Source organism: Homo sapiens, chromosome 15 (genome assembly GCF_000001405.40).
Source record: "Homo sapiens chromosome 15, GRCh38.p14 Primary Assembly".
Taxonomy (NCBI): domain Eukaryota; kingdom Metazoa; phylum Chordata; class Mammalia; order Primates; family Hominidae; genus Homo; species Homo sapiens.
This window is the reverse complement of record NC_000015.10, coordinates 52,753,858-52,771,832: the sequence shown is the minus strand read 5'-3', so window position 1 is coordinate 52,771,832 and position 17,975 is coordinate 52,753,858. Positions and strand designations below refer to the sequence as shown.

General features: G+C 42.1%; 1 protein-coding gene across 2 annotated transcripts in view; it reads left to right on the top strand.

The window, feature by feature from the left end:
* The window catches only part of ONECUT1 (one cut homeobox 1), a 35,284-nt gene extending 18,504 nt beyond the window's left edge, over window positions 1-16,780 (top strand). For both annotated transcript variants that reach the window (NR_073510.2, NM_004498.4), the window contains exon 2: window positions 13,986-16,780. Coding sequence is in view for 1 of the 2 variants with exons in the window: in NM_004498.4 (NP_004489.1) it covers window positions 13,986-14,278 (293 nt within the window). In the remaining variant the exon portion in view is untranslated. The remainder of the gene's footprint in view (window positions 1-13,985) is intronic.
* The last annotated feature ends 1,195 nt before the right edge of the window (window positions 16,781-17,975 follow it).

Genomic DNA, 17,975 nt, shown 5'->3' with positions numbered 1-17,975 from the left:
CTGTCCTAGGAGCAAGTGGCTCTCCAATTTATTGGGCATCCAAATTACTGAGAAGCTTGTTTAAAATATCTGCCTGTGATGGGTGCACCAAAATCTCACAAATCACCACTAAAGAACTTACTCATGTAACCAAACACCACCTGTACCTCAATAACCTATGGAACAAAAATGAAAAAAAAAAATTTAGTGATTATCAAAATTACATCTGTTAATACATGCTCATTGTAAAAAAAAACAGACATTACTTAAAGATATAAATAAGAATGCAAACAACATCTATAATCTCACCATTTAGGAAGAAACACAATTTATATGTTGGTATACATTCTTCTAAACTTTTTTCCATAGATATATACACAGACACACACACACACACACACACACACACACACACACTTGCTTTTTATGCAAAAATGAGATGATTCTATCTATGCAGTTTTGTCATCTGCTTGTCCTTTTTGTAAGATCGGATGAATAGTTTTCCACTGCAATAAATATACATCTACATCATCATTCTTAATGGCTATAGAATTTTCTACTATATTTATTTGTTCATTTATTCAATAAATGTTCATATATAGACCAAGCACTGAGCTAGATTCTGGGGATGTAGTCATAGGTAAGCAAGTCTTTGCACACACAAATTTACCATAATTCATTGATTAACTCCCTATAGTTTTCACTACTATAAAAGGATCTATGATGAATATGTGTACTTATATTTTTGAGCACTTGCCTGAATATAGCCTTAGAATAAATTCCTAGAAGTGTTAATTACTAGATCAAAAGTAAATATATTTTAATATTGATATAAATGCAGATCATCTTTCAGAACAGTTGTTCCAATTGATGTTCCCATCAAAAGTGCCTATTGCTCCTTATTCTTGTCAACATTGAGGATTAGTAAGGTTTTAAATCTTTGCCAAGCTCAGACAAAAAATTAAAATAAATGTTCTCTCTCTCTCTCTCTCATAAACTGACACAGAGTTCATATCCTTTGCCCTGGATGTTCTTTTATTTCTGAGTGATTTGTATAAAGAAATTATTGTGTATTTTACAACTGCTTCTCAATTTTTGTCTTTGGATTTGATTTGTGGTATTTTTAAGCCATATTAAAGTTCATTTTTTTCCACGTTAAAAAATTAATTAAAAAACAAAATATCGGCTTGTGAATCTCACTCTCAGAGACAGTAGGTATAGGATGAGGTTCCAAAATGTGCATTGTGAACAAGCCGCCCCTTTGTGCTCCCAGGCGATGTTGATGTATTTGGGCCACACCTTTACTGGAGTTCACGCTCGGGACTCTCAGCCCTTGTTACTCAGAGTGCAGTCCCGGACCAGCAGCTAGACATCACCTGGGAGCTTGTTAGATGGTCAGAATCTCAGAGTCTACCCTGGCTTGCCGAATCAGAATCTTCGTCTTAACAAGATGTCCAGGTGATTTAAGTTTGAGAAGACTGATTTAGAGGAGTGGTTCTCAGCCTTGGCTAAGTATTAGAATCACCGAGGGAGCTTTCAAAAATCCCAGGCTTAGGCCTCTGCGAGACTGAATAAATCAGTATCTCTGGAGATGGATCCCAGGCACGAGTGCTTTTAAAGTTTCTCAGTGGTTCCCATTTGCAGAGAAGACTAAGAACTTCTGAGGGTCCTTCCAGTCTCTCCCACTGCAGAATGCAGGCCAGCCCTGAAGCCCAGGAGAGAGAAATGATACCCTAACCCATGGATCCAGGGCTCTATAATAGCCAGAGGTCCTACTCAAAAAGCCCAATGGCTTGGCAGTTGCCAGAAGAAAAAGAAACAAAATGGGATATCATTTCACCTTATTTATAAAGCATTCTTTGAGTCTTTCATCCCTTGAATTTGAATTTCTTCAAGACTCTTCTGCTGGAGTCATCTCATTAATTTATTGTTAAGGTTTCTACCACACAGACTCTCTGGATATTTGCTGACATTATCCATAAATCTGATCCTTATCTCCTCTCTAAGGCAAATATGGACCAGTCACCACCCAAACTTAGCAAGGACGGATGCAGACAGTACACCTCTGCCCTCTGGTACTCAGTGGCCCCTCCTGGGCACCTAACCTTGGTAAAGGGAGGTGATTACCTACTCCCAACTAATTTCAATGTTCCACCCCAAATTAGTTTCCCCTGTGCCTTCTGCTTCTCCAGCTCTGTTGCTCTAGTCTGCTCCTTACCTGTCCCTGAGCTCACTTCAGACCCAGTTATAGGAGTGGTGGCAATACCAAGGACTCAGCCAACCTTTACTGACTTCCCAGTCAGTGACATTTCAGCTATATCCCCATATATTCCCCATATATATCCCCATATGTTTCTGATATAACATTTCAGAAATCTCCCCATGGTGCCATTAAACTACTGCAAAAATCACTATCCAGTAAAGGGATTAAGGCTATCTCATGGAACTTCATTCTATGCACACATTTTCAAAACTTAAAAGACTTGTGTCTCTTGCATCTCTATTTTCTATGGAGCCACATCCAACTTGCTTTCCCAACAAGGGTGCTGAGTATGCCAAGGAAATAATCCATGTTCTAGTATTACAGACTGTGTGAGAGAGATGGGTAGGTAACTAACTAATTATACTGTGGGGAAGGTGCTCTGTGGGCACAAAAGACAACAACTCTCCCTGGATGGGAGAGGGGATGGAGAAGGCTTAGCAGAAAAGAAGATGCTTGAGGTTGACCTTCATTGCACAGGGATCTTTTTGTATGGAAAAGAGAAAAGGAAGGACATTCTGGATGTAGGAGACATCTTGAGCAAAGTAGTAGGGATGTGGAGGTTCATATCTAGGAATGACTTCTGAGCAGTGTGGCAGGAATGATTGGTATTGAGTGGGCAGTAGTAGTAGGAAGTGACATGGGAAATGTGGTTGAGGTCAGGGTGTCAAGGTCCTTGAATATCATGGTAGAGTAGCCGCCAAGGGCTTTCATCTTGGGCTTTTGGGAGACCCTTGTGAAACTAATTGTATCATGCATGTCATTGGAAGAATAGCATTTACAGTTTGATTCTACAGACAACTTTCCAAAAAAGCAAACAAGGAAAACTTCACTAATTTGAAATTAATTAGAGAAAATGTCTGATGACTTAGTGAAAACTCAAGATTGTAGGTTTTTTAAAGAAATTCTGTTTTATAACTCTCAATTACTATAAATACTATAAAGTAACATATACATCTATTAATTAGAAAAATGAGGTCGATAAGCTAAGACTTACAATTCACAATAGGCATATATGAGGTAAAAATAAGCATGTAATTCATCAGATGTGCTTTTTGTTTTGACTGTTTTGTGGAATCATCATAATAACTAGAGCATCTATATCACTCCAATTATTGGAGGCAAACTATTGAGAGTCTTTTTTAAGTGAGGGATACTGATGGAATAAAACTCCAACTGATCAGCCAATAACAGAAGTTTAGGAATTTAGAATTCTAAAAGAATTTAGAAAAATCCTTTTTTAGTTTTAATTTTTAATTATGGATACATAATAGTTGTATATATTTGTGGGGTACATGTGATATTTTGATACAAGCAGACAATGTGTAATGATAAAATCAGGGTAACTAGGGTATCCATCACTTCAAGCATTTATCATTTCTTCATGTTAGGAACATCCCAATTCTACTCTTTTAGCGATTTTGAAATATACAATAAATTATAATTAACTGTAGTCACCCTATAGTGCCACCTAACACTGGGTCTTATGCATTCTATCTAATTGTATTTTTGTACCCATTAAGCATCCCCTCTTTATCCCCCACTCCCCACTACCCTTCCCAGCCTCTGGTAACCATCATTCGACTCTCCATCTCCATGAGTTCAATTTTTTTAGATCCTACGCGTGAGTGAGAACATGCAATATTTACCTTTCTGTGCCTGGCTTATTTCACTGAACGTAATACCGTCCAGTTCCAACCGTGTTGCTGCAAATGACAAGATTTCATTCTTTTTATGGCTGAATAATATGTATATATGTATATCTACCACATTTTCTTTATCCGTTCACCTGTTGATGGACACTTAGATTGATGCCACATCTTGCCTATTGTGAATAGTGCTGCAATGAACATGGCAGTGCAGATATCTCTTCATATACTGATAGAAATCAAAATTCTTGAGCCAAACTTCCAGAAAAGAGACCTATTGCCCTTTGCTACTGACCAAACTAGCAGGCGCAAGGCCGCAGCTTCTCTCTTCCCACCAGTTCCTTTGAAGCTGCAGTACAGGGGGAGAGCTTCATGGAGGGAAGGGTCAGGTTGATGGGTGTCTCTTCCTGTGAGTATAAAAACTGATGAGGCTGTGCTCAGGAAAGTGTGTGCACATGCGCGTGAATGACCAGCGAGAGGACGATGCCAGTATCATTGGGTACGAAATGCATTCTTTCAACGAGAATTCTCAGCTACCATTCTAGTTCAGGTTTAGCCTCTATCACAGGGAAAACAGAACAAGGGAGAGAAGACAAACCTTGTGGAGAGAAGAACTGAGATAGTCTAGAATCACACCAAAATAGCTGTTTGTGGGGTCAAAGAAAGCGAAAGCTGGTATGGTTCTCTGTTTCCCCATAGTCTGTGCCTGCAGAGGAGCGGGAGGTGTACCTCCCGATGTCCTCCAGTGCTGTCATGGGGCCCTGTGCTGGCTCAAATCCCAGCTGTACCATTTTGCTGTTGGGGTGACTTGGGCCAGTCTCTTAACCTCACCGAGATTCAGGCTGCTCATTCGTCAACTAGAGAGAGAATAACAGTGTCTCCCTCACGCCCTTATTGTGAGGCCTGGTAAGGTGACTCATGAATGGGGCTTAGCTCAGGAGATGCTGTCCACCCCTCCCAGGCCCAGGCAACCTTGTCCAGGGTTCCCATCTCTCCTGGGATGCAGCTGTGGAGCTTCACCTGGAGAAGACAGGTCCATCACCATGTTTTATTCACTGACTCAGGAAGGACTCCAGGCAGCAGACTATGGGATGGCAGGATTCTGTCCTGGACAGCTCTGCTAGAGAAGCAGACCGGGGGCAGGGAGAGGCTCCAATGACTTTCCCGACCTGGCTTTGCCAAGGCCCTCTGCTCCCGCTCTTTCCTTTTCCATTGGGTGAGCTGCTTCCTTCAGCTTCTTCTCAAAGCTGATACACACAAGGAGACAACTATCCCATGCTCCCCTGCATCCTTCCTGACATGGGACTACTCCAGTCCCTTTCCCAGGCCAGCATGGGTGTGCTGTCTGCTATGCTGCCAGAACTCCCTTTGTCTCAACTTCCATCCAGCCCACTTTCCTGGAAGGCCAAACTGCAGTCCTTTCAGCCACATCAAGACGGATCTGGCTGACAACTGGCCTGCTGCTTGGCTGACCAACTGCTGCTGTTCTGTTCACCTTGGGTGCAAGTTCTCTGAGCTCCACTTCACCCGTTCCCTCAGCTCTTGCCCCCATTTCACCATCCTGGGGAAAGTTTCCATGATGTTTCACTGGTGCTGCCCTCTGCTTCCAGGGTCCAGTGAAGCTGGAGGCCCAAGTCCCCTACTAACCAGCCCGCAGGCAAGCTGCCTAACCTCTCTGACAGGGTTTCACCTACAAAAAAAAAAAAAAAGGAAGAATACCTATTTCTACCTCACCTGAGTTTTGTGGGGATCACATGATAAGGTTTTATGGAGGTGTTTTAAGCACTATAAAGCAAGACACAAGGGTGAGTTACGGTGATTATTCCCCACTGGGAATGTCTGCTCTCTGCATGTTCTTATTAGGCTTTCCATGTGTGTGACCAAAAGAGTTTCCATAGTTGCTCTGGCTACTCACAGAGACACAGCAAACACAGCTCATGTCCAGTAGGTTGTTTGGGCTCCACCTCCCTCTGCTGGCCATCAGTTTCCAGACAATCTGTGCAGGACTTTGCTTCCCATGCAAAGGATTTCCTTGGCCGTATCAATTAGAGCTCACTCGTGTTGCTTTTCAAATGGCACACTGGGCTGTGCCCTCTGAATTTGCCACTTAAGAGCTCCTTTATCACCCAAACAACTGGGGACACAGCTTATAAAAATATACACTGCACAGTAAGATCACTCAAGGCAAGGCAGATAACATTCTGACCTAGGACTCCTGGAGTCTGAGCTCTAATCCTGATGGTCTCGGTCAATCCAAAGGCTCTTTAATCTCCACAGTGTAGGTACTGGCCTGGAATACAGGCTCAGGAACAGTCCTGCCATGTTTGCTTGCATAGTTTCCCCTTCATTTGTCTCTCCCTACCCCCACTGCGTTTTACTGAAATCTGTTTATTTGTGTGCTCGCTCATCCACATATATTGTCTCTAAGAGTTTACTTTGAAAAACAGCTTCAGCTGACAAGAGAGGGTCTTCAGGGCTCAATGCACATGAACAGCTGACTACCTCTTGTCCTTTGCCACAGACCAGAAAAGGGTCTCTCTCAGTGGCAGGTAGGGGTGAGAGCAGAGGGCTCACCCTGTGTGCATGGCTGGCTGCCGCTGCTCTTACAACTTGATAGAGATGTAATTCACATACCATAGAATTCAACCCATTTAAAGTCATCCAGTTAGTCACAGAGCTTTGCAACCACAGTCAATTTTAGAACATTTTCATCATCTCCCCAAAAAAGAAGAACCATACCTATTAGTCACTCCCATTTCCCACCACTACCCCTTCAGCCATAAGTAACCACCAGTGTGCTTTCTATCCCTGTGGATTTTCATATTCTGGCCCACATGCTTTTTGATATTGTTGTTCCCTACCCCTGAAGCCCCAAGCTCTCCTGAGCAGGGTTTGCAGGGATGCCATGGCCAAGCCCATCAGGAATCTGGGTAGCAGCCCTGGGCTGGCTCTTGAGAACTTCAGGATGTGTCTTGCCTTACCAGTGCACCCCCATCTGACCCAGAGGCATTGGAGCAGCAAAGGGGCTGAGGGCCGCCTGGACGTTTCTCTTCTAAATCCAGGCAAGACACCCCTTGCGTGACTCGGACGTCACAGACTTACCTGTGTGAGAACACTTGGCCCTGCATGCTACTGAGGGGTTGCAGTTTTCAGCATCTACATCAGCCTTTAGGGTGAAGATGCTGCATCTCCAGCAGGCCCTTATGACAATGCCAAGCTGTCCTTAGATGTCAAGGCAGTTTCATGGTGTCCTGGACATCTCAGCCTTTCCCCTTTACTGCTCTCTAGTCCACTTTCTCTGCGATGATGTTAGGACAACATATTCTAGGGCAGCTATTTCGAGGGAGAAAATACTTGTCTAGAGTCTAAGGACTCACAGAGAGCAAGCCACATATGAGTGGATAAGCTGCCAGCACACAGCTCAAGCCCAGCTCTGTGGCCACTGATAGATGTGTGATCTTGACCAAGTCCTTCACCTTCTTTGAGCTTAGTGTCCCCAGCTGCAAAATGGAATACGATGGCTTCTCTCACCTCACAAAATGGTACTAAGAATTAGTAAGACAATATATTTGCTCTGGTTTGAATGTGTCCCCCAAATTTCATGTGTTGGAAACATAATCCCCAAATTCATAATATTGATGGTATTTGCAGGTGCATATCCACGGAGCTGGGCCAGAGCTTGTGTCTTCAAGAGTCCAGGCTCATTTAAGAAGCTGTATCATAAGTTCATTTGGCTTTATTAATGCCTCCCAGGCCAATATATGTATGCCCACATATTCCCAGACAAATTCTTGGCAGACTTTTGCATAATCCAATCAGCACTTTATATGTTCTAAAGTCCTTTGTATCATTAAGTCAGGAAAATGGATATAAGTTAGTATACAAATGCTTGAGTGACAACTGATCCTAAGATGTTACTATATACTATGTTTTAGAAAGTGTGTTCTAAGACAGGGCTTCTTAAACTCTAGGTAGTGAAGGACTAGCTTGTTGGTTTGTTTCTAACTTCCATCTGTCCTGAATGAATAATTTTGATAATACAATAAAAAATATATTACTAGAGAAATAATCACACATTTGAATGTTGCAGCAATGTCAAACTGCCATAAACATTTCTAATTGCTTATTCTCAATATTTTTTACTGACCTCGTTGCAGGTCAGTAGTGGTTCACAGACCAGCACAGGTCTGCCAACCACACTCTGAGAAACTGTTCTAAGGATCACCATTCCTAAGAGAAATTCCCTGAATAAAGAGTTCTTTGATCAAATAAGTTTGGGAGAGCCTGTAAGCTAGAAAGTGTTGATGCTCAGTAACATATTAAAGCTCTGAAAAGTCCTGCATTAAAGAAATTTGGTTAATCATTAATTAATTCAGCATTTCCCAAACCAACTTGACCTCACAACTCATTGTTCACAAAATACCTTTCAACCTCCTGCAAAGTTACATTTCTTGAAACCCACTTGGCTCTGCCTTGCCCACTATAGGCAAAGCAGTCCCCAGGCATGCCTGAACTAGAAGTCTCTGTCCTTTGCCCACACCCTCATGCTCTGTTTTTTTTTTCTTCATAATCTTTTATTCCCGTGGCACACAAAGTCATGCTCTGACTTTTACCATCTTTCATGCCTACTTCTACCTCCTCCATGGTACTCACTTTGGGTGACCTCACCCATAAACATCAAAGTCATTTGTCTGATATACTTTGCCAGTGAATCCTATAGAGCTGTCTGCTTGCCCACCCTCATGGAGGTGACTCCTAACAGATCTTCATCATTAGTACTACCTTTCACCAACAATGGCCATCTCCTTCCACTTAATCCAGTTAACTGACAAGTATTTCTCTATTTTTAATGGAAACTGTACCCCTACATAAAAATATTACATTCACATAAAACATGTGTGTTGCTCTTCCCTAAGCAGCACTACTTCTTGTCATACTCCTTTTTCATTCTCTCTCTCTCTCTCTCTGTCTATCTTGCACATTCCTGTCGACTCTCATAACCTCCAATTGGGGGTTTCCTACCTTACAATGGGTAATCTCTACTCTGAAATCAATTCCGTGGAAATTTCAGCTCTCACAGCTATAGTCTGGTGAAAGCTTCTAGAAGTATGACTTGTTTCTGTGGGTTGCTCCACTTAGCCTCCCCTGGTCATCGGTGACTCTCAGTAAGCTTTAGTCTACTCTCCATTTTACTGATATCTCTGCTTTCTTTTTCAGCACCTCCAGCTTTGGCAGCATTTCCTCCAGATCTAATCACATCTACTTATTCGCAGACATACCCCTGCCCCATACCCACGTGGATACTGATCTGCCCTTACAACCAGGCCCTAGGCCAGGGCGTCCTGGAGATACAGAGCAAGTCAGCCAGGGTCCCTGCTCCAAGAGAATCTCACTTCCCCAGGTTCTGGTATTGTAACGTCTACAGTGCTTGAGGTCCCAGGGCAGGAACTTCCAAACTGCATTTCCCCAACATTAATATTGTATAAGACATTAATCGACAGTCTCCACCAAAAAGGGTTCTGGGGTCAAACAAATTTGAGAAACAGAATTAGCTGTGCTTACATATGTTATGAATCTTGAGGAAGAGGCAATATATAATAGATTTTTTTAAATGTCCTTAATCTGCAAACCATCTTTTCAAGGAACCCCTGTTTGAGAGAGTATCATTCTTCTGATGCCATTTGGGAAATGCTGGCTCAGGGGTAGCTTCAGCAGACAGTCCTGCCAAATGCCAAGGACCAGACTGAAGTCATTCAAACATACAATCTGGCTAGATGGAAGATGAATATCTCTTTCTGATTTCCCTTAGCTCTGCCTTTTGAATGATAAATAAGTCAAGTCTGTACCCAATGCTCAGTTATTTACTTTCCCATGAGTGAGTGTTCTGTGTAATTTACCATCTAGAGACCTAATGACTTCCAAGTCTATATTTCTAGCCCAGATCTCTCCCCTGAACTCCAGATCCCATACATCCTGCTGTCTGCTGTACAACCACCTAATGGAGACCTTTAACAGAATGTCCAGCAAACACATCCAATGCAATTTGTTCCATAGAGAAGTGGTTACTATCCTCATAAAACTCATTTCTCCATCTGCATTTCCTAATGGCCCCATTACTATCATCCAACCAGAAACCTGGCAGATGTTCCAGACTATACCTTCTTAGCCAAGTAGTCAAGAAGTCTTCTTGATTTGACCGCCCAAGAAGTTCTTCTCCGATTCTGCCATTGTCTAATTTTGGGTCCTCATTACAGTGGTTTTCTTTTCTTTTTCTGAAATGGAATCTTGCTCTCTTGCCCAGGCTGTGGTATAGTGTTGCAATATCAGCTGACTACAACTTCTGCATCCTGGGTTCAAGCAATTCTCCTGCCTCAGCCTCCCAAGTAGCTGGGATTACAGGCACCTGCCACCATGCCCTGCTAATTTTTGTATGTTTAGTAGAGACAGGGTTTCACCATGTTGGCCAGGTTGGTCTCGAACTCCTGACCTCAAGTAATCTGCCTGCTTCGCCCTCCCAAACTGCTGGGATTACAGGCGTGAGAAACTGTGCCTGGCCCTACGGTGGTTTTCTGACTTGTATTTTAGGTACAGTTCTCTGCAAAGCAGATTATGAGTTTCTGAGATGTGCATTCAGAAAGGTTTTCGGAGCATGTTATGGCAAATAATCCCCCTGGGGGTGGTGAAGGAAGTAAGACTGGACAGAAGGAGGAGTTGAACAACAATGTAGGTGCAAAAATAGCCTCATCCAATTATATGGAGTGCTCTTGAACCAGATGACTCTTTAGAGTTGTCTCACTTGATGCAAGGGATTGGGGTGAGGGTCCTTAAACCAACACATTTCCACTCTCCTAGACCACCACCTTTCATACCCCCATCTCCTACAGCCCCCCACCCACCCCCACTAGATATGGGCAAACCCCCACCCCACCCCAGAGTGGCATAACCTTTGGCCAAGGGCAATTCGAGAGCCACCTGTCACCAACCCTTCCAGCAGCTGGAGGAACAAGTGCACAGTCCTGAAGGGGGATCTGGGTAGTAGACCACAGCACCCACTGTAGCATTCTTGTCCCTAATCTTGCTGCTTTCCAGTTCTCCCTCCACAACTCCACCAGAGGGGTTTTTCTAAGCCCAAATGTAATCACACTACACCCTTACTCATGCCTCCCCCTACCTCCTCCTTACCTATGAGATGATTCATATCTGAACTCTGTCTATGCACGAAGCCATCTCCCACAGCCTTTCCTTCTTGTGTGCCCTCTTGCCTCACAAATACCAATCTACTAATACTTATCAATCCTTCACAATGCTGCTCCCTCTGCAGGGAATGAGCTTTCCCACTCCTCTCACTAGAAAGCCTCCATTTATCCTTTAGGGCCCATCTGAGTGCCTTCTCTGTAATTCCTTCCTGAATATCTTCAAGCAGTAGACTCTGTACACTCTTTTTATACTCTTGTAGTTAATTGCTTATGTGCAGTTATTTACTTAAATCTGGCATCCTTAAGAGCAAAACCTGTGTTGTATTCATTTTTAAGTCAATGAATCAGCCATCTGCATCAGTATTGTATGAGGCTGTGTCCACACGGGCTGACTCAAACCAACTGGAGTTGACTTTAGTCATTTTTTTCTGGGACTTAATCTAGGTGCCCGGTGAGGGCTGTAGGCCTCTGGGAGGAAGAACTCTATTTGGAGACTCTCACCTGGCTCAGGATGTCTATAACTCGAGGCTCTGAGGGAGTTGGACATTTAATAATACTGCCCGTTAGGTTGATGCCGCCCCTCATGGTGGGCAAGAGGCATAGCAAGTGACCTACAGGACATGTTACAAAAGGCCATAAGGCCTGCCTTGCCTACAAATCTCTCTTTCATGACTGAGCCCTCCCTTCATGTCCATTCTGAAATTATCACTCTTATATTTACTAATGGTTGGACCAGTGGCCCCGTAAGTAGGGTGAATACACTCCAGAGCCTGGCAAGCAGATGCATCTCTAGAAGAGAATTCCATGTCTATTTATTTTTATTGTATCCCTTTAAAAATTTTAGTATTGTGGGCTGGGGGCAGTGGCTCACACCTCTAATGGGAGGCCAAGGTGGGCAGACTGCTTGAGCCCAGGAGCTCAAGACCAGCCTAGGAAACATGGTGAGACCCCATCTCTATAAAAAAAAAAAATTCAAAAAAATTAGCCAGGTTGTGGCAGCACGCACCTGTAGTGCCAGCTACTCCAGAGGCTGAGGTGAGAGGATCGCTTGAGCCCACGGAGGCAGAGGTTGCAGTGTGCCAAGATTGCACCACTGTATCCAGCCTGGGCAACAGGGTGAGATCCTGTCTCAAAAAAATGTCTTTGTATTGTGTATGTTTTATAATGTGCACAATATAGTAGTATACTAACACATGTATATGATTTATAAATAAATAATATAAGGGAATATACACTCAGAACTTTTTTTACTAAGTAGCACATTGTTTTAAAAAATTGGAGCCTTCTGGATTGGACTCTAAAGCCTTGAGGCCTCTCCAGCTTTCATCCTATGAGCTCTGCAGCTGATCTGTTGCTGAGCTAATTTGTACCAATGGCACCTGAAGTTTTACAGGAACTCTGAAGTCCAGGATCTACCCAGCTGGAAATGAAAGGGAGGGGCAGGCTGAGGAGAGCACAGAGGCTGAATCTAGCCAGAGCTGGTGAACCATCAGGTAAGGAATTGAGAACCTGGAATACACAGAGGCATACAGTGAAGCGGAAGGCAGCAACAGGTAGGACAGCAATGGGAGGGATGTGCTATGGAAGAATGGCAATCCCTCCCTCCATCACGAAGCATGCCCCGTCCATCTTCCACTATGGTCATGATGAGAGTACAGCCAGCCAGATATAAAGGTGGCAGTGGCTGCTCTAGAACGCCTACATAGGGGGCTAAGAGGCAGCAATCTGATTGCAGTGAGGGCATAGGAGCCTTTTCTTAAGGCTGCATTCACATATCAGAGCACTATTTTTACTTGGGTTGTATGGTTATTTGTGGATGGTTGTGAGGATTGATTGATGGTGGAGATTGGGTGGAGGGGCAGTGTGCATTGTTACCAATGCAGCCTTGATAGTCCTCTAGCAGGTGGAAACTAGTGAGCCTCATTAGGGTGGAAAGAGACTTATGGCATCTAAAATCAGGAGAGACCCTGATCTGGCGCCAAACCCTGGGGTCTGAGGGCTCCATTGGGATGATACATTAGAATAACTCCATCAGCCAAAAAGCAGCTTCATAATACAGGACCAGACATGCAAGCGCAGGGAATGGGCCCCTTAGTGGGAGACCAAGTAAGTGATGAGGGGGACTCCAAGAGCATGGCTTGCAAAAAGGAGGCACAGAGAGACCCCAGAGATGAACATGGCTAACTTGGCAGGTTTAGTCTCAATGTCGAAGAAGAGCGGTTCACACCTCCACAGTTCCCGGTTCCACTAGAAAATCAGTGGAAGACTGTTTGATGGCCATGATAAAAAAAACTATATACTTAACTTTCTTATATACAGATTTTCCTGGAAAATAAAAAAGATCAGAAGGGAAACAAATGCAATTCCTTTCTACTATGTTTTTAGACTCTGATTAGGCTCTTAATATTCTACTGGCAGCAGACTATAAACCCTTTGAGGGCTACAACCACTTCTTGCTGACAAGGTGTTGCATTTGTAAAGTTAGCATAAACTTTTGCATACACTATTTCATACCACAACACGGCAAGGTAGGTATTCTTATATGCATTTTGAGGATGAAGAAATAAAGGTTCAAACTGATTAAGTTCATTTAGCCAGAAACTTACATTCTACAGGTGAGGAATCTGAAGCCCAGATGGAGTTAACTGACTTACCCAGGACAAAGAGCAAATACTCATCAAAGCCACAACCCATGCCCAGGCCTCACAGAACTTCACCTGTATCCCAATTCTCCATTCTGCTATTACACTTTCCTCCCAGCCTCCAATGGTGCTTAAAGCAGAGGTCAGCAAACAGAAAGCAGGCCATGAGGAATGGCTAACAAATTTTATGAGCTCTGTCTTTCTACTCATGATTCTCCCCTAGACCATTTGTTCTAACATCTTCTGTGTTTCTTCACAGCATGCAAAAGGAAAGAACAAGAACATGGGAAGGATAGAGGCAACACACCCAAAAAGCCCAGGTTGGTCTTCACAGATGTCCAGCGTCGAACTCTACATGCAATATTCAAGGAAAATAAGCGTCCATCCAAAGAATTGCAAATCACCATTTCCCAGCAGCTGGGGTTGGAGCTGAGCACTGTCAGCAACTTCTTCATGAACGCAAGAAGGAGGAGTCTGGACAAGTGGCAGGACGAGGGCAGCTCCAATTCAGGCAACTCATCTTCTTCATCAAGCACTTGTACCAAAGCATGAAGGAAGAACCACAAACTAAAACCTCGGTGGAAAAGCTTTAAATTAAAAAAAATTTTTAAAAGACCAGGACCTCAAGATAGCAGGTTTATACTTAGAAATATTTGAAGAAAAAAAAGCGTTATTTATAGTCCAAAGAAACCAAAGACTTAGCTCACCTGCATTCTGACTTTGTTTGGAGACACACACTTCAGCAGGGCGGCGACTTGGCAAGACAAATGATGAGCAGGAAAACACCACTGGATCTCACACCTTCAATCCATGACCATCCTCGCTGTGCTTGGCTGTTTAGTGGTTTGGAGCATAGTGATTTTGAGCCATTGAGCGGACATCTTTTAAGATCGAACTTTCTCATCTGTTCTACCATGCCACGAAGGTGTATGGTGTCTCAGTACTACCACCACCAGTGGTTACAGACTTAGGCAGAGCTGGTCTTCAGAAATGGTTGTTCTATAGGAGTGCAACCAACATGGTATGGGGTTGTCTGAGTTCATTGGATTAGGAGTGTGATTTTGCTCGTCTAGCCTAACGTTTGAACCTGCCAGGCCCGCAACCTAAATGCAGATTCAAACCCAGCAAAGAAAATTTGAATGACACCTAAACCAGTGCATTCTCTTTGTTTGTTAAGGAATGTTCAGATATTTTTTAAGAAATGAAACATGAGTCCATCCATTAAAAAAATCACCTAGGTACCAAAGAACACACTTAATATTATAGTGCAGGTATTTTATTGCAATGATTTTAATAACCAAAGCTATTTTTACACAAGATACTATGAAAAGTTATACGTATGAACTGATCTAGCTGTAATACACATGCCACATAGAATCATGACTATTATTTATGACTCTTGAAGCATTTGAAATATGAGTTTTCAGAACTGGCAAGAAAGAATGTAGCTTCAGGGAAGCAATTAATATCATGGCAGAGAGGTCGATGCAGTACACGTGTACATCCAGATGGCACACTCCTTTTCAGGATCCATAAATGTCACTTAAGTAGAGAGATAGACATGGTTCCATAATCTGTTCCTAGCTGAGAAAACCTGAGGATCTTTCCAAAGTAGTACCCCATTTTTACACTAGAAAACTAAATTTAACAGGGAGGGTAACTAAATTAGAAAATTTGTTCAAAGTAATGCTTTTTAGTAAAAGGTCACTAAATAAAGAACTATCCTTAGATTAATTGACTTATATTTGCTTTATGCATCTGGCACCAAAAACCTCTTTTAAATACTTTACAAATACAAATAAAGTTTAAAAAAACAACATTATTATTCAAATGAGCTATTCAGTACTTATAACTATCCTAAAAAGTTATCAAATTAACTTATTGCCAATCCCAGAAATTTTATGACTTGGACGTCAACAAAACAGCAGGTGCAACTGAGAAATGGTGGAATTGGTGGAACTGTATAGAAAAAAGCCAGTGTTCTGGTGGACGACAAGACTTTTGATCTATTGGTATTAATCAATTTATGGAACTAAGAATAGCCTCCAAAGCATTCTGCCTTCTTTCTTGCTACTGCATTTAGCTGGAAATTTTATAATATAGATTTTGCTCTCTAACAGGGACAGATTAAAAACTAGACCTGAGCTTACAAATACAAAATTTTAAATTTCTATTTGTCCAAATCACTTAACCAGAGCTGTAGAAGTCAAAGTCAAAAAAAAAATGAAGTCGTATTAGTGGTACCCCAGTGAATCACTTGATTCCCAGAAAAATTCTCTCTGAATTCAGTTGGACTGTAACTTATCTAAGTGGATGCCCCTTATGCCATTAGGTAAAGAATTGGATACTGTAAGTTAATTACCACCCCTACTTAGAACTATGAAATTAAATGTTATCCTAATGATAAGTTGTTTTATTGAGATTCATTAAAAATGCCAAAGAACAAAACTGAACCATCTTGACACAAAACATAACTCCTTAGCATCAAATCTCAGCACCTTGTCTAGGTCTGTAACAGGCAGGCAACTAGAGAGGTAAAGCAAAACCAACAAGCCATCTATCTGTGTCTCCTTCATGTCTGCTGTCGAATGAGAAGAGGAAACCAACATATACTTCTCTTTTGATGAAATACTTCATTTGCCTTGACATGTTTTGTTTTTTGTTTTTAATTTCACCCACAACTCCAGCTTAAAAATTTCCCTTCTAAATATGGCACAATTATAGTTCAGCTATTGAAAGAGACCATTTAAATGGCCACCCTTCAAGATTTACTAAAAAATAGAATCTTGTCAATGACATAAACAAAAAGGAAAAAACTGATTAACATTTTCTCTCTCTCCAGGGATGGAGGGAGCCGGGGATACAGCTACATAATGTATTTATAATTTAGGAGGGAGGAAAGCCTTATTTATTTAAAACGTGATAATTCTAAATGCAGGGAAATTCAAGCTGTGTCTACACACAATCTTACCAAATTCAATACCCCAAGAAAAGAATAGCAGAATTCAGACAACCATGTTTTTTATTTGTTGCTAGTATATATTACCCCCAAAATCAATCCAACTACATGTTACCCTTTTTTTTTTTTTTTTTTTTTTTTTGAGAGAGTCTCACTCTGTCACCCAGGCTGGAGTGCAGTGGTGCAATCTCAGCTCACTGCAACCTGCACTTCCTGGGTTCAAGTGATTCTCCTGCCTCAGCCTCCCAAGTAGTTGGGATTACAGGCGCCACCACGCCCAGCTAATTTTTGTATTTTTAGTAGAGACAGGGTTTCACCATGTTGGCCAGGCTGGTCTTGAACTCCTGACCTCAGGTAATCCACCCGCCTCGGCCTCCGAAAGTGCTGGGATTACAGGCATGAGCCACTGCGCCTGGCTCATGTTACATTTTTGACCAATTATTTTGGTACTGTGTAGGCACAGTCTCACAGAATATTGCTTCATTTTCAGTATCCTACCATAATGGTTTTTTAAGAAACTACCCAGTTATCCTATTTGCTAACACCAAAGATAATTTTCATACCAGCATTGAATTTGCACCCATTATGCAATTTCAGGGCTTAGAGATATATTTTCTCATAAACAGATGCACAAATCAGAGCCTGAAAAGCAATTTTTTTACTCGACTGTTTGAGCATACTCACACCCTTTGCTTTTTAGAAATCGTGATGGACAAACTCAGCTTCTCACAAGCAATACACTTATTACATCATGTATGACTGATTCTTTACTTGCTCCTGAACTGGCATGTAGAAAAAAAACACAATGCTTCCATTCCTATTTAGTGTAACATTAATTTCTGGCTTGAGTTTTTTAATCTACATTCCACAGAGCAGGTCATGTGCCATTTGTTCACCCATCATTTCTCAATTCTTTTGCAAAATTCACCAGAAAAAGGTATCTATCTTACTCTTTTATTTGTACATGTGTTTATTCCAAAACTGCACTTAAAGTAATCCTTTTTTTTTTTTTTTTTTTTTTTTTTTTTTTTTTTTTTTTTTTTGGTAGAATGGAAGTTAGTCTGTTTCTGGCCATAAGACATTCAGGTCCTCTCATCACTGGAAGCTTTCCTGTAGAGGGCAGGGAGTTGTGACGTCTGGACACCCCAAAACCCCAGACTTCAGTAAATGTTCAGGTAAAAGAGCTCTGGATGTCAGGAATTGAGTATTCCAGTCCCTGGATGCAGCTGGAATAGACTCCAAAGACCAAAGAAAATGTGTGGGAAATCCAGAAGTCCTAAATGAACATGT